The sequence below is a fragment of the Homo sapiens genome, chromosome 4, assembly GCF_000001405.40.
Source record: "Homo sapiens chromosome 4, GRCh38.p14 Primary Assembly".
Lineage (NCBI taxonomy): Eukaryota > Metazoa > Chordata > Mammalia > Primates > Hominidae > Homo > Homo sapiens.
Genome location: NC_000004.12, coordinates 88,956,322 through 88,976,247, shown reverse-complemented (window position 1 = coordinate 88,976,247; position 19,926 = coordinate 88,956,322). Strand labels below are relative to the sequence as shown.

Here is a 19,926-nt window from a genome sequence, read left to right as displayed (position 1 = left end):
CATCAGGAGAGATATATAGTTGATCGTAAATTCAAGATCTTTTAAGTCAGCCAGTTATTCATTAAAGAGAAAGGCTCAGCCAAAACTCATCAACACTACTCTGCTAATACTATTTTTAAAAATGAAACCGCATGTTTTCTTTCAAACATGGTTTCAGAGGACTTCTACATTCACGATCTTACTTACTCCTTATATCTGTCTTGGGAAGAGAGCAGCGCAGTACATTTTATTTAACAAAGGATGACCTAAGGCTCTATAAAATGGCTGGTGGGTGGGTGTCAATGATTGGCCACAAATTATATAACTAGTTATGGCAAGACTAAGAATAAAATGTCTTCTGACTCCTGGACTGGTGTTTTGTCCTTTAGAGCACACATTTTCTCAAGATAATACTACAGATGTTATTTACTGTACCATACTTTATCTCACTCATCACGGGTTATTTGTGGAATTAATGACCTTCATTGTATCATTTGCCTTGATGTGGCCCATGTGTGCACAGAGTCCGTTGTTAAGTACAACTTTTAAAAATGGAAGAAAGCATTTAAAATGAATACTCTTTGCAGAGAAAAAGCAAATTCGGATTTTGGCAATTCTTTGTTTCTCATTTTCCATGCTTCTAAAAGAAAATTCAAGTGAATGCAAAATTATTTTAGTAATGCAGTTTGGTTGCTGTCTATAAGACTTCAAAATGAAAATTAGTACTATATGTCTTACTCAAGAGTAATCTTGAAAATGGCTATTGACCCTTTAAACTCCTTGCAGCATCATTCAGTGATGACAAGTAGAAAATTTAGGTATATACACACAAAAATAAATATATTGAGGCATGTTTATTAGGTATTCACAGAATTCAGTGGCAAATTTTTATTCCCAACATTATATGTGGGAGTATGTGTGTGCACTTATGTAATAATCTCCAGAATTATTATCTCAACCCTGTGTCTACCTTCTACTTGCACAGCTATCTTTTATTTTCTCCGACAAGGTTACTATGGAGATTCAATCTTGGGGAAACAGGATTCTGCTCTGCCCTCTGTTACGAATCAGCTTTGTGACTTTAAGAAAGTCACACAATTTTTCTAACCCTCTATTTTCTACTAGGTGATATGTGAATTTCTTTTGAGCGTTTAGATTTTTATATGATTTTATTTTTCTACAAGTTTTATCATTAATTTACTTATTTGGTAAATGTATTAAATTACCAAATATTTTTTGAGTACATACTGTATGCCAGCAGGCAGTATCCCAGATGTCAGCCAAACAACATGGTTCATGCCTTTGGGGAAGAAGGCTCCTTATGTAATTACTGAATTACAGTTGTGATAAGTGCTGCAGTGGTGTTAATAATAGAGATGCTAACTGTGCTGACTATGAATGTCTATGCCCGAGAACTAGCTTGTATTTCATTCAAACTTACCTAACTCTGAACTCTCCCCATTTTAGTGCATTCCGCAGACCCCAAGCTCTCTTCATCTCTTTCTTCTGGTTTTGATAACTTCTTAACTAGTTTCCCCTCTTTGATAACTTCTTAACTAGTTTCCCCTCTTTGGTCTCACCAACCCAAATCCAAATCCACACTGCATTATGTTTAAAATATAAAATTAGCCGGTCATGGTGGCGGGTGCCTGTAATCCCAGCTACTCGGGAGGCTGAGGCAGAGAATTGCATGAACCCAGGAGGCGGAGGTTGCAGTGAGCCAAGATCACGCCATTACACTCCAGCCTGGGCGACAGAGCGAGAGTCTGTCTCAAAAAAATTAAAAATTAAAAAATAAATCAGGTGACTTTTGGTTCCTGGTCTAGCATTTAAGGAGCTTGGAATCACCACTCGTTCCTAACAACAAGTAAAAAGCTGAACAAACTGAAAAATCAACAACACTTCTTAGATTTGGAAGAGTGTTGAGGTCACAGGAAAAACAAGTGCCCCAAAATTGGTCAGACAGACAGGCAGATACAGAGAATCACTATTTGCCCCAGTGGAAACCAGCAAGGAAGGGTAGAACAACCTGAACTGTAATTGACAAATTGCTGGAAGCTCCCGGTGGATAAGTCTGTCAGTTAACTCTAGGGCCACTGAGTCATCTGGAGAACTCCATAATTTTGGGAGTTTTGCCTCCTGAAACTCTACCCGATTCTCACAGTGAATACTGGAGAAAAATCCCTTCATGCTTCTGACATGGGGAGGAGAAAAGGAACCAATTTGAAATATACTAGAGCATTTTGCTCTTAAAGGGTTGCCTTCGAGGAAAGCTATTTAACCAGAGCCTAACCTGCCAGGGATTTCTCAGGGCCTAACTGACCTGGGGGAAGGAAAATACCCAATTCCAGCCCCATCCAGTCATCCTGTCCCATGTATGGGTAGGAAAAACTGAGAATCACTTGTGAAGTTTACAGTTGAGGGGCACAGGCTCACTAAAAGACAGACCTAATCATGGGGCTGTAGAACTCTTCCCCTCTCCTAGTACCTTGACATCACATTATTAAAGGCCAATTTACAGCAGTTCCCTTTACCCAGTACATCATGTCCAGCCATCATGAAAAAAATCACAAAGCAGACTAAAAGAAACAAAAACATAGGTTAAAGTGGCAGAGCAAGCATCAAAATCAGACTTGGATAAGGCAGGGATGTTGGAATTATCATACTATGATTTAAAACAATAGGATAAGGGCCCTAATGGATAAAGTAGACAGAATGCAAGAACAGAAGGGATTGTAAGCAGAGAGATGGAAATTCTAAGAAAGAACCAAAAGCAATGCTAGAAATCAAAATTACTGAAACAGAAATGAAGAATGCATTTAAAGGGCTCATTAGTAGGCTGGTCATGGCTGAGGAAAGAATTTCTGAGCTTGAGGGCATTTCAATAGAAACCTCCAAAACTGAAAAGTGAAGAGAAAAAATACTGAAAAACATGGAATAGAATATCCAATTACTGTGGTATAATTGTAAAAGATATAACATACACATAATTAGAATCCCAGAAGTAGAAGAAATAGAGAAAGGAACAGAAGAAATATTTGAAACAATAATGACTGAGAATTTCCATTCACTAAACCAGAGATCCAATAAGCTCAGAGAATACCAAGCAAGATAAATGACAAAAAAAAAAAAAAAAATTATGCCTAGGCTTGTCATTTCAAACTGCAGAAGATCAAAAGTTCTGAAAGAAGCCAGAAGAATAAAACACTTTACCTATAGAGGAGCAAAGAGGTAAGCTCTACATCTGACTTCTCTGAAACAATGCATGCAAGAAGAGTGTGGATAAAATATTTAAAGTGTTGAGAGACAATCCTTAAAGTAGAACGTTGTACCCTATAAAATTATACCCAAAAGTGAAGGAGGCCAGGCACGGTGGCTCACGCCTGTAATCCCAGTACTTTGGGAGGTCAAGGCAGGTGGATCACCTGAAGTCAGGAGTTCGAGACCATGCTGGCTGATGTGGTGAAACCCCATTTCTACCAAAAAATACAAAAATTAGCCAGGTGTGATGGTGCACACCTGTAGTCCCAGCTACTTGGGAGGCTAAGGCACAAGAATCTCTTGAACTGGGAGGCAGAGGCTGCAGTGAGCCAAGATCACACCACTGCACTCCAGCCTAGGCAACAGAGTGAGACTCTGTTCTCCCCCCCAAAAAAAAGTGAAGGAGGGGCTGGGTGCAGTGGCTCACACCTGTAATCCTAGCACTTTGGGAGGCCAAAGTAGGTGGGTCACTTGAGGTCAGGAGTTTGAGACCAGCCTGGCCAACATGGTGATACCCTGTCTCTACTAAAATACCAAAATTAGCCAGGCGTGGTGGCACGCACCTGTAGTCCCAGCTACTCAGGAGGCTGAGGCAGGAGAGTTGCTTGAACCTGGGAGGTAGAGGTTGCAGTGAGGCGAGATCGCACCACTGCAATCCAGCCTGAGCAACAGAGCAAGACTCTGTCTCAAAAAAAAAAAAAAAAAAAAGTGAAGGAGAAGCAGAAACTTTTTCAGACAAACAAAAATTGAGGGAATTTGTTGACAGTAGACCTGCTTTGCAAGAAATGTTAAAAATTCTTAGGGAGAAGGAAAATGGTGTAAGTCAGAAACTTGGATCTACATAAAGAAAGGAAGAGCATCAGAAGGAATGAGTTAGGGTAAAAAAAAATATTTTTCTTATCTAATGGATAACAGTTTATTCAAAATAATAATAGTAACAATATATTTAATTATGTATATATATGTGTTTATGTATGCTCACGTATAAATGACATGAATGACACAAATGATACAAGCAGCAAAGAAATAGGATTATTGTTATTGAAGGAGATGTAGAAAAGTTTTGAACTGTGGCAGCAGTCTGGTCTTCTAAATTTGATATGTGTAAATTAAAGTTTTCTTTATATTCTCATTATGTTAGGGTTTCAACTAGTTTCCTTTTCCTTGCAGTAATTTGATATTAAAAATAGTAGAAGTGTTCCAGGAGCGGTGGCTCATGCCTGTAATCTCAGCAACTCAGAAGGCTGGTGGGAGGATTGCTTGAGGCCAGGATTGCTTGAGACCAGATTGGGCAACACAGTGAGACTCTGTCTCTTAAAAGTAAAGAATAAAACAAAGCTGGGTGTGGTGGTGTGTTCTTATAGTCCCAGCTACTTGGGAGGCTAAGGCAGGAGGTTCTCTTGAGCCAAGGAGTTCAAGGCTGCAATGAGCCATGATCATGCCACTGCATGCTAGCCTGGGTGACAGAGTGAGACCCCAACTTGAAAAATATTTAAAATTCATGTATTTAGCAAAGAAAGGGTCCCAGAGCCATTTTTAAAAAGTCCCAGTCTTTCAGAACAGTTCATTATTTTAATAATTCTAAAAAGTAAATAATAAAAATATACCTAAAAGTCTATGAAGACTGCCAAATACATGCTTGAATGAAAACGAAAAGCATCACTTGAGAGAAGACAGTTTGTTCATTTGTTGTTATCCAAAAGACAGTTACTAAGCCCTAATACAAGGTAGCCTTCTATTAACTAAATTTTCCCTTTGATGACTTTTGTGCCTTTTCTTTTTCTCTTTTTGAGGCAGAGTCTCACTCTGTCGCCCAGGCTGGAGTGCAGTGGCGCGATCTCGGCTCTCTGCAAGCTCCGCCTCCCGGGTTCATGCCATTCTCCTGCCTCATGCCATTCTCCTGCCTCAGCTTCTCCTGCCTACAGGCGCCCGCCACCACGCCCGGCTAATTTTTTGTATTTTTAGTAGAGATGGGGTTTCACCATGTTAGCCAGGATGGTCTTGATCTCCTGACTTCATGATCCACCCGCCTCGGCCTCCCGAAGTGCTGGGATTACAGGCGTGAGCCACTGCACCCGGCCAACTTCTGTGCTTTTTCAAAGAACTAATTTATGGCTTTGATCATTTTTTCCTACTGTGTTATTATTTCCAAGTCATTAATTTCATCTCATTTTTATTATCCCTCTCTTTGGGTTTATTTTTTGGTTCATTTTCTAACGTATTAAGCCATCTGTCCCACAGAGTTTGCTATCTCTTGTTTCATTATCACTGAGTTCTGAAATTTTTTAAAATTTCAATTATGACTTCTTCTTTAACCTCTACGTTATTTAGCAGTGTGTTTTATTCCAAATATATAGTTGTTTACTTTTTGTTAAATTTTAATTTCTTTCTAATTGAAGATCAGTCTATATAATACTCAATTTTTGAAATTTATTAAGGCTAAAATATAGATATATCAGATATGTATTATATAGATATATCAAATATATCATCTATCAAATATATATAGTGTATCTATATATCTGATATATATCTGATTATTATGTATCATATATATATATATCTCTCTCTCTCAGATCATCTCTCTCTTGTTTCCAAGACCTTTATTTAGTGATATTTTCTTTTCCATGGCATTCAAAGCCTTTAATGATTTGGTGCTTGTATAGCCTCATCTCCTCTACTATTTTCCAGGAGCCATCCATAAGAATCTAAAGATGGGCAACCGTAATTATATTATATTAGAGGAATATCTGGGGGCTGAGGTAGATTTTGGAAGTTACTCATTTAAGTTTTATGTCTTTTCATCCAGGTTTTCTCAGATGTAAACAAGGAAGATGAAATATACTTTTTCAAGGGGACTGTCTAGTGCTAAAATTCTAGTAACTGTAATAAGCTTTTCATAATCCTCATACATTCAGCAGATATTTATTGAGTGCCTTCTCTATGACCAGCACTGTTTTATGACTGAAATAGGGTGATGTGATAGCAAGAGGCTGGGTGACCAGTTTTGGTTGGGAATCCAGAGATTGTCTTTTTGTAGAACTGATATCGATGCTGAGATCTAAAGTAGAAGAAGTCAGCCCTACAGAGAGCAGAAATGTGAGCAGGCTAGAAAACACTTCAGAGCATAGGCTTCAGCACTAGACTGACTGGATTCCAGTCCAGGCTCTGGCATTCACTATCTCTATGCCCTAGGACAGTTTTCTCAGCCTTTCTGAGTTTGTTTCCTCCTCTGTAATAAGTAAAGTAATAAGAGCAAAATAATGGTGCCCACATGATAAAGACTGGAGGATTAAATGAATTAAAACATGTAAAGTACCTGTACATAGTATACACTCAGTAAATGTTACCTTTTGTTTTGTTTCCAGGTAGAGAAAATGTTCAGTGCAAAAGTTCAAAGATGAGGATAAGCTTGGCATGTTCCAGAAATAGAATAGATATGTGGTTTTGGAAAATGATAGGAAATTCACTTATATGCATTGTTCACATGTTTCTTCCAATCAGGGTGCCCTTATTTTCCCATCCTGACCTTCTACCTGAACCTGTCTATGAGTTTATCTGGTAGCCATCTTTTAGAGCCAAGCTGCTTGCATTCATCACCTAGGAAGCCTCTCCTGATCATTTCTACACATGAGCTCTTCATCCTGTATTGGCAAACAATCAAGATCCTGGACTTCAGTCCCATCTTTGCCACTGAAAATCTGTGCTGCCTGGACAAGTCACTTTTCTGACCCCAGCTTCGTATATTTAACACAGAAATTATGAAAATTATCCTGGAGTCTTATCTTTTTCTTTTAAATTTTTTATTTCCATAGGTTTTGGGGAAACAGATGGTGTTTGCTTACATGAGTAAGTTCTTTAGTGGTGACTTGTGAGATTTTGTTTTTTTGTGAGATTTTTGAGAAATTGATTTGATTTGATAATCTGAGATGGAAATTATGTGTCTTTTAATGTTAGTTAATACTGTCACTAAAGACTTAATAGCATTCAATGATATGACCTCTTTGGAACATCTTTTAAATTGATGATATTAGTATTTAATTTCCTTACAAATATTTCATACCCCCTTAGTTAAAGTGTATCTCCTTTGATAGAAGAAGCTGGTTGTATTCCTTTATGTGACCCCAAAATCCCTAACAGCGTTATAGGCATTTCTGTTGAAAAATGAATAATAGTTTGAGAATGAATGTGGAGGCAAAATTAATGCCACTCTGTCCTTTAAAAAAAATTCAGGCAATGATTTAAGCTCTTCTGTCTATTTTGTTTAAATACCTATTTTGCTGGATATGGAGAACAGGGCAGGAACATGAAGTAAAAAAAAAGGAAGAAAGTGGGGTGGGAGAAAAGGGGATTAATGGAATAGAAACGTCCAAAACACTTTTGGAAATTATTGTCTATGATTCCCTTGTTATTAAGAAAGAACAGTGTATATCCTCTGGGGCATATAGGGCAGAAAAAAAGATTATGAACAATTGCCAAGTACTCTAAACTGAAAACAAAATCATTGTAGAGTAAGTAATTACTGTATCCCCTCCTGATTCTCGGTCATAGCGAAGAAAGAATTTGAAAGCTTTTTTCAGAGTCAATTTTACCTTGCTACTGATTATATATTTTTGTACTTGCTATGTTGGAAAACAATGGTTGTTTGGCCTCTACTTTTATCCCTAATTGTTTAGAACATAAGTGTTGCAAAGTTGAAACTTTAGAAGGTGTGTTCTGAGCAAACAGGAGGAAAAGTATTTCTTAATCAGATGATGACCTTTGTTTCCAAGTAGGTGATGTGGCCAAGAGTTGAATGCAGTTTTAATAACTAGGATATTCAAGTCCCTGAGGCGGGTGCTTTGTATCAGAGATAATGCAAATAGTTCTTTTTATCTTCTCTTCTTGGCCATTGTACCCAGAGGCTTACCAATCTTCCACATTTAGTCAACAAACCTTTCTAACTACTTGCTAGACTCTGCAAATTATGGCAGGTCTTCTGTGGAAAGGGATAAACAGGAAAAGTCAGTATGACTGTGGACTGTAATTGTGGAAAGTAAACACACACACACTACCACCACAGCCTGTCTCACTCAGCCAGTGTCCTCCACATGGCAGCACTAGGCACTGTTTAAGAGACGTGATACCCGGAAAAACAAGCATGGAACTCCTGGTAATAAACAAGTATCAACTGATTTCATCTCCAAAAGAATTTCCCTTCCTCTCTGTCCCCATTACCAACCTCCTGCCCACAGTGGGAATAACTGAACTGCTGATTAAAGTTTGGTTTATTTGTTTTTCTAATTATGATGGTACAGTGCTTGACCCACTGAGTTTTCTACCCATTGCTCTTGCCGGGCATCTTTTCTGTGTTGTAAGGCACATGGAATTCTCTCTCATTTCTATGATGAGCAAAGATAAGGCTACTCTCCTTAAGCCGCATCCCACAATGGGCTCACATTATAAATTAAGATAAATATGAAGACCCTGAATATATTTGCAGCTACCCACTACAAGAGTTAAAATGTTCCACATGGAACTTACCAATAAACGTGCTCATAAACGAATTTGGTGTATTTTATCTAGACTGCAGATGATCACATATAAAATAATGATTGTCATGGGAAAGCTCTCATTTAAAAAATTAAATAAGATTGTGTAGGGAAATGAGATTATTCATTCACTGACTCTTTAATCAGACTTTAATCAGCAGTTCAGTTATTCTCACCATACTGTGCACCAAATGTATAGTAGATAAATCAGAGAGACGTACTGCCTGCTCTCAGTGAGCTTGTGGAGGAAAACACACAGAAACACTATACAAATAAATAATCATTATAATAATCACAGGTAACAGTGTTTATTGTTATGTCAGGTACTGTTCTAAAGAAATTACATGTACTATCTTATTTCATCCTAATAACAACCCTAGAAGTTAGGTACTATTATTTCACATTTATAAATGAAGAAATAGACCATGTGAGCTAAGTAACTTTCACAATGCATGCGGCTAGTAAAGAGCCAAGATTTGAACCTAGAGAGAAGACTCAGAGCCTGAATTCTTTACATCTATACTATAATTGCAAAGCATAGCAGAGCCTGGGTTAGAGAATATTGAGACCAGGTATCAAGTTCAAGAATACTGAAGAGAAAGGATAACAATTTTCTAGGAGGTTAAATGTCTCCATCCTAGTTTAGTGAGTGGAGTGTTTCATTTTGCATGAGCTAAGCTAGTGACATTTAATTCAATATAACATTTCTGATTTAATTTTATGAACTTATTTTGGTAGTTCATTGGAAGAGGCTATTAATGTGATTCCTCTTAACATAGAATAGAACTATTCTATGGACTATTCTCAGGTCTAAAAATAATGACCATTGTAACTGACTGCCGGGGATTCAACTTTAGTTGAACCTACATCCTAGACTTAATTAATAAGAAAGTAGGTAATAAATGAAATGAAAAAAATAAAATAGCTTTCTGTTGGGCATATTTAGGATAGTCCAACCTCCAGGCAAAAAGGATTAACCATGGTTCTGCTAATGCTTTACTTATTTGGCTATAGCAGGAAAAAGGTCAAAGGTAAGAGAGGACAGGTGAAACTTCAATTTAGTTTAGTTTTTCTGGTGCCAACGCCTAGAACATAGTCCCTGCCATATAGTAGGCTCTCAGTGCATGTTTGTTCAAAGAAGGAATGAGTGAATATGAAGGATCAGTTTTATTTCTAATACTCTGGGAAAAGGAGGGAGGGATGTAGCTCACAAGGGTCTAATGTTTATTTATTTTGGGAAAAGCAATCACCCAGAATTAATCTATATTATACTGTTTTTCTAACTAATTAGAATTTAATAAATAGTCCAGTTTCAAAAATCACATTAGTGGTCAAAAACTACATAACATGTCTTCACCTCATTCCTCCAAAAATTAAAAATAGAACTACCACATGATCCACTTCTGGGTAAATATATCCAAAAGAGTTGAAAGAAGGGTCTCAAAGAGAGATTTGCACACCTGTGTTCATAGCTGCATTACAATAGCCAAGAGATGGTAATAATCCAAGTGTCCATGGATGGATGAATGGGTAAACAAATGTAGTATATACAACCAAGAGAGTATTATTCAGCCTCAAAAAGGAAATCCTGTCACATACTACAACATGGACGAACCTTGCCGACGTTATGCTCAGTGAACTAAGCTAGTCACAAAAAGACAAATACTGTATGACTCCACTTATATGAAGTATCTAAAGTAGTCAGATTCACAGAAACGGTAGAATGGTGGTTAGCAGGGGCTGGGGGAGTGGAAAAAGGAGATATGTTTAATGGATATGGAGTTTAAGTTTGCAAGATGAAAATGTTCTGGAGATCTGTCATACAACGATGTGGATATAAATAAGACTACTGAACTCTACGCTTAAAAATTATTAAGATGGCAAATTTCATCTTGTTTTTTTTTAACTTAAAAAAACTACATATAAGATAGTTTTGCCTGTTTTCAGGTTTCTTTTCAGTGTTTTAGGTATTCAGTATTTAAATCACAAAATTTGTGATTTGAACATTTTTTTCTTCCTTCATGAGATTTTAAGTGGATTGATACTTGCTTTCCATTCTGTCCCGATGTCTGACCTTTGTAATGTAAAGAAGAACATTTTGTTTAATTGAGAGAAGTCTGCTGTGTTCTTGTTGATAGAGGACCATCCTAGAGTTGGGAGTGCTGTCTGCACAGCAACAAACCCAGAGTCTACTTTGGATCACCTTATATAGTTCATGAGTAATCAGCAGATGCCTTTCCTTTCTATGTCTCTCTCTCAGTGAAAGGCACTGTTTCTTCCACTTGGTGAGGAATGGCCTAATGCTCATTGTCTGTAACAGGAATGCTACAGCTGCTCAAATTGTACCATTTATCATATTTGGTAAGGTCTTGCCTTAGTCTTGCCTGTTCAATTATAAAAGGAAAGAAGACGTAAAAGATGTAGAGTTGTACTGTGTGATTTTCCCCCCATTATGTCAGAAGAGGCCTTAAGAAAACTAATACCAGCACACAAATATATCTTTTTAGATTTTCTATTATATATTTTGTCTTATCAAGAAGAGCAGAGTGGGCCGGGCGCGGTATCTCACGCCTGTAATCCCAGCACTTTGGGAGGCCGAGGCGGACGAATCACTTGAGGTCAGGAGTTCGAGACCAGCCCGGCCAATGTGGTGAAACCCTGTCTTTACTAAAAACACAAAAATTAGTTGGGTGCAGTGGTGCGTGCCTGTGATCTTAGCTACTCCAGAGGCTGAGACAGGAGAATCACTTCAACCAGGGATGTGGACGTTGCAGTGAGCCAAGGTAGCACCACTTCACTCCAGCCTGGGTGACAGAGTGAGACTCCAAAAAAAAAAAAAAAAAGAGCAGAGTGTATGTTAGTTTGGTGATTCATTACATGTTAGTTTATGATTCATTATGTGCTAGTGTGGTGATTCATTATGACTAGATGGTGCTGTGTAAAAAAAAAAAAATTTCCAGAAAAATCTAGTTTAATAATTATGCTACCCAGTCCTTAAATCCTATATCAAATACTACCTCCTCTAGGAGGTCTTTCCTAATAATATTTTTTTAATCCCAAAACAACAGACTACCTCCAAAAATACACAATGACCTACCTGCATTAGTTTGTATCTTTCTTATAGAAACATTCTATTAATTATGTTATTTATACCATAATATAAGCTCCTTTAGGGGAGAGGCTATCTTGCCCTTACCCATGGTATTCTCTGAAGTACTTCCCACAGGCAAAGAAAGCAATAAGTGTTTGGTAAATATTTCTTGGACTGAATTGAGCCAGCTGTTTACATATACATTAAGTTAACTCTTCTCATTATTCTCAGCCGTATGAAAGAAATGCAGATCCACTCTGTGACTACATCCTATTGCCTAATCTAACTAGGCAGATTGCAGCTACTTTATGTTGACTGTTCAGAAGTTTTTGCTTGGGTTAAATGAAGTCAAACCTGTTGAGTTTTTTGGCGCATGGGGAGTTGTTTACAACTTTTCTTTTTCTTTAGTGCTATTGTTCAGTGGGACCTGCCTGAGGAGTGTACTGTACCCCAAACTGTTTACACTGAACATTCATTTCTTCAGTGACACACCCATCAGCTGACCTGTTTACACTGGTACTTAAGTAAAGTGGGTGCCTGCAAGCTTGAAACACTCTTAAATTGAGTATAGTATGTTTCAAATAATACAAGTATCTTACCATATTATTTATAAGTTTTAGCAGCAACTAATAGACTGGTCCCTAAAATATATAAACAAGGAGCTATTAAATATAATTGTGGTGGTTTTTAAAAGTCTTTGAAAAGAGACCCTTGTCTTATTACTCCAGGGAAATTTGCAGCCATTCTATAGAGGTATTATCTCATCCCTACTAAAAAGATTTCAAATGGGCTGGGTGCAGTGGCTCATGCCTGTAATCCCAGCACTTTGGGAGGCCGAGGCAGGTGGATCACCTGAGGTCAGGAGTTCGAGACCATCCCGGCCTACATGATGAAACCCCGTCTCTAATAAAAATACAAAAATTCGCTGGGCATGGTGGCAGGTGCCTATAATCCTAGCTACCAGGGAGGCTGAGGCATGAGAATCGCTTGAACCTGGGAGATGGAGGTTGCAGTGAGCTGAGATCACACCACTGCACTCCAGCCTGGGCGACAGAGCGAAACTCAGTCTCAAAAAAAAAAAAAAAAGATTTTAAATGAAACTCTTAGTAATCTCTCTTTGGGTGGCCAACCCATTGTTGTAAAGCAAGGGAATATCTTATTAAAAGTTGTTTGTTGGGTCTGGGTGTGTTAATGACACCGTTATCACATTGTTAAGCTTCACAGAAGCATATAACCTCATCAATTTTAAATTTTTTTTAAGTAACATTAGTTTCATAAAAATGATACTTGCTTCTTGTAAATAATTAAAATTATACCCAAAAAGGCAAAAAGAAAAAAAGTAAAAGTCACCTAGTGACCCATTGATATTTTTCTGAACATCCTTTTAGAAATCTCTACACAGAAATTAAAATGCATTTTTACATATAGGAAATATTCATACATGCTACTGTGTTACTAATCTTATTTAAATAATATGTCATGAACATCTTCCATGTCAACTAACGTTAATCTTTATACCACTGTTGTAGTAGTTGTCATAGTATTCCCTTATGTTTTGGAATTTACCTAATTCTTTCTTAATGAACATTTAGATTGCTGTCAATTTGGGACTATTATGCACTCACATTTCAGTGGCCAGAAAGGTTGATGTGTGTTCTGAGTGGTGCACATCCCACAAATATTTCACTAACTTCTAGTCATGTGATGAAATTAAAGTCCACACAGTTTATTAGATGACTCTTTGAGTTGACACATATGCTCTCTCTCTCGCTCTCCCCGCCCACCAAATAGCAGTGACTCCTGGTTGATAAACCATGCAACCCATTGCTCCCACCACTCTGGAGCCTCCCTGCAGCTGACCACCCCTTACTCAGATTGCAGCCAAACTCCCTGTTCTGTGAAACTCTCTGTTTTTCCCACCTCCTTTCTTTCCTCTTTGGAAAATTGTGTAAATGCTGAGTTTTTTCTCTTATCCTTGCACTTTCACAGACCTTGAATTGGTTGACTCTCCTTTAGTAAATCCCCTTCATGCAAATGCTTGTTCCGAATTTCCTAAATCTCGTTCATCCTTTCCTTCTCTTTTTTTGTGAAATATTTAAGTAATTTGTATTAAAATCCATATAGTTCATGTGTCTCTACTAATGTGATAACATTGTGTTTGAAATCTATTAAAAGGAGACTCAAATATCCTCTGTGACATTTTTGCTGAGATTTCATTTCATTTTTTTTTTTTACTTATTTTTTAAATTGACAAATAATAATTGTACATATTTATGAGGTCTGGTTTTTACTGTTGCCATTCACTCTCTCTTCTGACTCCTACCTAGTTACCTTCTTTCCCTGACTCTCTTCTTTCCCTTTCTCTCTCTTCCCTCTTTCCCTCCATTTCCCTAATTTTCTATTGTTTTATAATTGAATTTAATCGTTTTTATAATTTTTATAATTGAACTTAACCTATTTTTCCCCATTCACTTTCCATGGCTTGATAAAATACCTGCTATATATAAGATTAAAAGAATCCATAAAAGTGAAGTTAAACCACATTAAAATAAAAAGCTGTTTTTGCAGCCCTTTAACATGAACTGAATCCCAAAACTTTCTGTTGAGTTAGACCCTCAAGTCTTTGTCTATGAGATACAGTTAACATCTATCATGTCATACATTTATTTATTTTATGTTCCCTACTGCTTCTTCCACACACCACTAAAAGGCAAGTTCTGGCCAGACAAGGTGGCTCACGCGTGTAATCCCAACACTCTGGGAGGCTGAGGCGGGCAGATCACAAGGTCAGGAGTTCGAGACCAGCCTGGCCAACATGGCAAAAACCCGTCTCTACTAAAAATACAAAAAATTAGCCGGGCATTGTGGTGCACGCCTGTAGTCCTAGCTGCTTGGGAGGCTGAGGTAGGAGAATTGCTTGAACCCAGCAGGTGGAGGTTGCAATGAACTGAGATCATGCCATTGCACTCCAGCCTGGATGACAGAGCAAGACTCAGTCTCAAAAAAAAAAAAAAAAAAAAAAAAAAAAAAAAAAAAAAGGCAAATTCCACAAAGCTGAGGATTTGTTTTTATGTATCTCTTTTCTTGGCAAATATAGGTATTATTTGTTCAGTGAATGAGTTAATTATAGGTAAACTTATTCTATTTTTAAATGTGTATTTTGTTTTAAAGCTTTCATTGCAACTATATTTTCTGTGTTGTTTGTTTTTCCATTTCAAGTGAAGAGTATTTCAAAACTTTTATGGCTTTTATTGATTGTTCTAGGCCAACATTCAAACTTAGTCACCATTTCTATCACTATTTTTATTAGAAAGTCCATTCTGAATTCTAAATCGTGGCTTAAAAATCAACTTTTGGTCTAAAAACTGTAAGAGGGCACCTCTTTAAAAAGTGTTAAGAATTAATACAAATGCACTTTCTGTGCTTCTTAAGGAGGCAAGTCATCAATTTCCATAAATATAATTTTTTTAAAGTTTCTTTATGAATTTTCCTCTCACTGGAGTTGATGTTTTTCTGATTAGTAACTGTTGCTTTTGTTAGGGTTTGCACAATTTCTGCTTTGCAAATGTAAATTGTTACATGTTTTCAGCAATGGTAAAACAAAGCTGCTTCCTGTAAATCTATTCAGGAAGCAACTTTGCAAAAGACAATGCCTGTCACACTTAAAAGGAAGCCCTACATTTGGGTTGTAGTTTAAAAAGGGAATTGAGGATACCTCTGTGTCTTTCTTACTAACTACTAGCTTCTTCGTTCTTTTCTCTTCTCTCCTCTTGCTGAGAGTGCTTACATAGTCATCTTAATACTTCAAATGAGGTTTTGTTGTTGTGGCGGAAAAATTCAGTTTATTGTTGTGCACTTTTGTGTATTTTCTCTTTCTTTGAAGGAGATGATACTGAAGAAGTAGAACCAAGGGATTACTTCAATTATTTGGGCAGGCTAACTTGTATCCCTCTGTTTTTCTATTGTTTTGTAATTGAACCTAATCATCAGTTTTCCTCATATCTTCAGTTATATCTCACTCACAACTAGGACAAAAAATATTAAAAACTGTCTTTCTCACTGAAAAATCAAATAGGCTTCAGGATGTTGAAAATTGTGTTATTTTTTAATAAAGCAAAAAAGAGAAACACATAGTGACAATAACTGAGATTATTTTCCTGACGGATTTCTTATAGCATTTTCATTTGTTTATTGCAAAGAGGTGGGACATTACTCTTGCCTTGGTATAGATATTTCCACATGGGAATTGCCCTTCAGTGCTACTTTGAATTTAAGACAGTTACCTCTAGAACTCAGGAGAGGGAGATGACTTTCTACAACCCAGAATCCTTTCTTTCTGAGGGTCCAGTGTATTTTGAAAAGTCATTCTCAAAGCGATTTAAGTGCCTTCTTGCCGAGAACCAGGCAACTTCTACTGTGTATAATGGAAGGGTAAGGATGCGGTAGTTAAGCAAGCAGGTGTTCAGAGTGCATGGGTTTGAATTTGGTTTTAAACCTGCCTAGTGAAATTATTGTGGTAGACAGAATAACAACATCCCCTCACCCCCTTACCGCCACAAGAGGCTGATATCCTAATTTCCAGAACCTGTAAATATGTTACTTAACATGGATAAAAGGGACTTTGCAGATGTTATTAAGTAAAAGATCTTGAGATAGGAAGATTACTCTGGATTATCCATGTGGACTGTTAAGCCATTCTTGCATTGCTGTAAAGAAATACCTGAGACTGAGTATTTTGTGAAGGAAATAGGTTTAATTGGCTCGTAGTTCTGCAACCTTTGTAGGAAGCATGGTACTGGCATCAGCTGGGCTTCTCGGGAAGCCTCAGGAAACTTATAATTATAGCAGAAGGAAAAGGGGGAGCAGGCACATCACATTGCAAAGGCAGGAACAAATGAGAGAGTGGCAGAGGCAAGGAGATGCCACGTCCTTTTAAACGACCAGATCTCATGTGAACTCAGAGTGAGAGTTCACTCATCACCAAGGGGATGGCCCAAGCCATTCATGAGGGAACCATCCCCCATGATCAAACACTTCCCACCAAGCCCCACTACCAACACTGGAGATTACATTTCAATATGAGATTTGGGTGGGGACAAATATTCAAACTATATCATTCTGCCCCGGCCCCTCCCAAATCTCATGTCCTTTTCACATTGCAGAATACAATCATGCCTTCCCAATAATTCCCCCAAAGTCTTAACTCATTTCAACATTAACTCAAAAGTCCAAAATCTCATCTGAGACAAGGCATGTCCCTTTCACTTATGAGCTTGTAAAATCAAAAACAAGTTATTTAATTTCAAGATACAATGGGGTATATGCATTAGGTAAACACTACCATTCTAAATGGGAAAAATCAACCAAAAGCAAGTGTGAAATGCAGCAGGGCAGTCATTAAATTGTAAAGTTCCAAAATAATCTCCTTTGACTTCATGTCCCACATCCAGGGCACACTCATGCAAGAGGTGGGATCCTAAGGCCTTGGGCAGCCCTACCCTTTTGGCTTTGCAGGGTACAGCCCCCATGGCTAAACTTACAGGATGTTGAGCATCTGTGGCTTTTCTGCCTTGAGGTTGCAAGCTGCCACTGGATTTACCATTCTGGGATCTGGAGAGTGGTAGCCCTCTTCCCACAGCTGCACTAGACAGTGCCCTAGTGGGGACTCTGTCGGGGGGCTCCAACTCCACGTTTCCCCTCCACACTGTCCTAGTAGAAGTTCTCTCTGAGGGCTCAACCCCTGCAGCGGGCTTCTGCCTGGACAACCAGGCTTTCTCATGCATCCTCTGACATCTAGGCAGAGGCTGCCAGACCTCCTTAACTCTTGTATTCTGTGCACCTGCAGGCTTAACACCACATAGAAGCCACCAAGACTTACAGCTTGCATTCTCTAAAGTGTCAACTCAAGCTATACCTGGGCTCCTTTGAGCTATGGCTGGAGCTGGAGCTGCAGTGGCTGAGATGCAGTGAGCAGTGAGAGGCTCCAAAGTATCAGCTCAAGCTGTACCTGGGCCCCTTTGAGCCAGGGGTGGAGCTGGAGCTGGAGCTGGAGTGGCTGAGATGCAGGCAGCAGTGTCCTGAAGCGGTGCAGGGTAGCAGGGCCCTGGACATGGCCCAGGAAACCATTCTTTTTTCCTAGGCCTCTGGGCCTGTGATGGGAGGGGCTGCCAAGCAGATCTCTGAAGTGCCCTTGAGGCCTTTTGCTCATTGTATCGGCTATTAGCTCTTGGCTCCTTTTAGTCACGCAAATTTCTCTAGCAAGTGGTTGCTCCAAAGCCTGCTTGAATTCTTCTCCTGAAAAAGCTTTTTTTTTTTCCCTCTGACGCTTGGCCAGGCTGCACATTTTCCAAACTTTATGCTCTGCTTCCCTTTTAAATATAAATCCAACTTTTAGTCATTTCTTTGCTCTCACATCTGAGCATAGGTTGTTAGAAATAAGCCACATTTTGAACACTTTGCTGCTTAGAAATTTCTTCCACCAGATACCCTAAATCTTCACTCTAAAGTTCAAACTTCCACAAATTCCCTAAAGCATGAGCAGAGTGCAGCCAAGTTCCTTGCTAACGCATAACATGGGTGACCTTTACTCCAGTTCTCAGTAAGTTCCTCATTTCCATCTGAGATCTCATTTCCCTGACCTTCAACGTCCATATTTCTGTCAGCATTTTGGTCACAACCACTTAACAAATCTCTAAGAAGTTCCATACATTTCCTTGTCTTCCTATCTTCTTCTGTGTCCTCCAAACTCTTCCAACCTCTGCCTGTTACCCAGTTCCAAAGTCACTTCCACATTTTCAGGTGTCTTTAGAGCAATGCCCATCCTTGGTACCAATTTTCTATGTTAGGCTGTTCTTGCATTGCTATAAAGAAATATCCGAGACTCGGTAATTTATGAAGAAAAGAGGTCTAATTGGCTCATCATTCTGCAAGTTCTATAGGAAATATGGTGCTGGCATCAGGTCAGCTTCTAGGGAAGCCTCAGGAAGCTTACCTGGAGAAAGCAGAGGCAAGTGAGAGATGTGGGGTGGGAGGGAGGTGCCACACACTTTTTTTTTTTGAGACAGAGTCTCGCTCTGTCATGCAGGCTGGAGTGCAGTGGTGCAATCTCCTCAGCTCACTGCAACCTCCACCTCCCAGGTTGAAGTGATTCTCCTGCCTCAGCCTCCCTAGTAGATGGGACTGCCGGCATGTGCCTCCATGCCCAGCTAATTTTCATATTTTCAGTAGAGATGGCATTTCACCATGTTAGCCAGGCTGGTCTCCAACTCCTGACCTCAGGCAATCTGCCCACCTCAGCCTTTCAAAGTTCTGGGATTACAGGCGTGAGCCACTGCACCCGACCCACACACTTTTAAATAACTAGATTTCATGTGAACTCAGAATGAGAACTCACTCATCACCCTGGGGATAGCTCAAGCCATTCAAGAGGGAACTGTTCTCATGATCCAAACACCTCCCACCAGGTCCTACCTCCAACATTTGGGGTTATAATTCAACCTGAAATTTGGGCGGGGACAATCCAAACTGTATTATAAGCTCAATATAATCACAAGGGCCATTATAGGTGGCCGGAGAGTCAGATAAGAAGGTGTGTTGTGAGAGGAGGCCACAAGCTAAGGAATGCAGGAGATCTCTAGAAGCTAGAAAGTGAGGGTAACAGATTCTCCCCTAGGAAGGACCTGACCCCTGTTAAGACCTACTTTTTTGGCCTACTGAGACCTACTTTGGACTTCTGGCCTCTAGAACTCCAAGATAATAAATGTGTGTTGTTTTAAGCCACTAAGTTTGTGGTAATTTGTTATATCAGTAATAGAAATCTAGTATAGTGACCTTGGATAAATTCCTTAAGTTCTTTGGTGTTTCTTCATCTTTTTTTAAATAATAGCTTTATTGAAGTATACAGTCATGTTGAGAAATGCGTCATTAGACAATTTCGTACATGCGTGAGCATCACAGAGTATACTTATATTAACCGAGAGGTATAACCTACCCCACACCTAGGCTATATGATATAGTCTATTGCTGCTAGTCTGCAAACATGTGCAGCATGTTACTGTACTGAAT

General features: G+C 38.7%; 1 protein-coding gene and 1 long non-coding RNA gene across 17 annotated transcripts in view; one reads left to right on the top strand and one right to left on the bottom strand.

Annotated features, from left to right (window-relative positions):
• The window catches only part of FAM13A (family with sequence similarity 13 member A), a 331,226-nt gene that overhangs the window by 80,938 nt on the left and 230,362 nt on the right, over positions 1-19,926 (top strand). The gene's annotated exons all lie outside the window — the stretch shown is intronic.
• LOC105377327 (uncharacterized) overlaps positions 16,596-19,926 on the bottom strand; it is a 32,160-nt gene continuing 28,829 nt past the window's right edge. The window contains exon 4 of one of the 2 annotated variants that reach the window (XR_938977.3): positions 16,596-18,853. This is a non-coding gene — a long non-coding RNA (uncharacterized LOC105377327). The remainder of the gene's footprint in view (positions 18,854-19,926) is intronic. The other variant, XR_007058188.1, reaches the window with a different exon arrangement.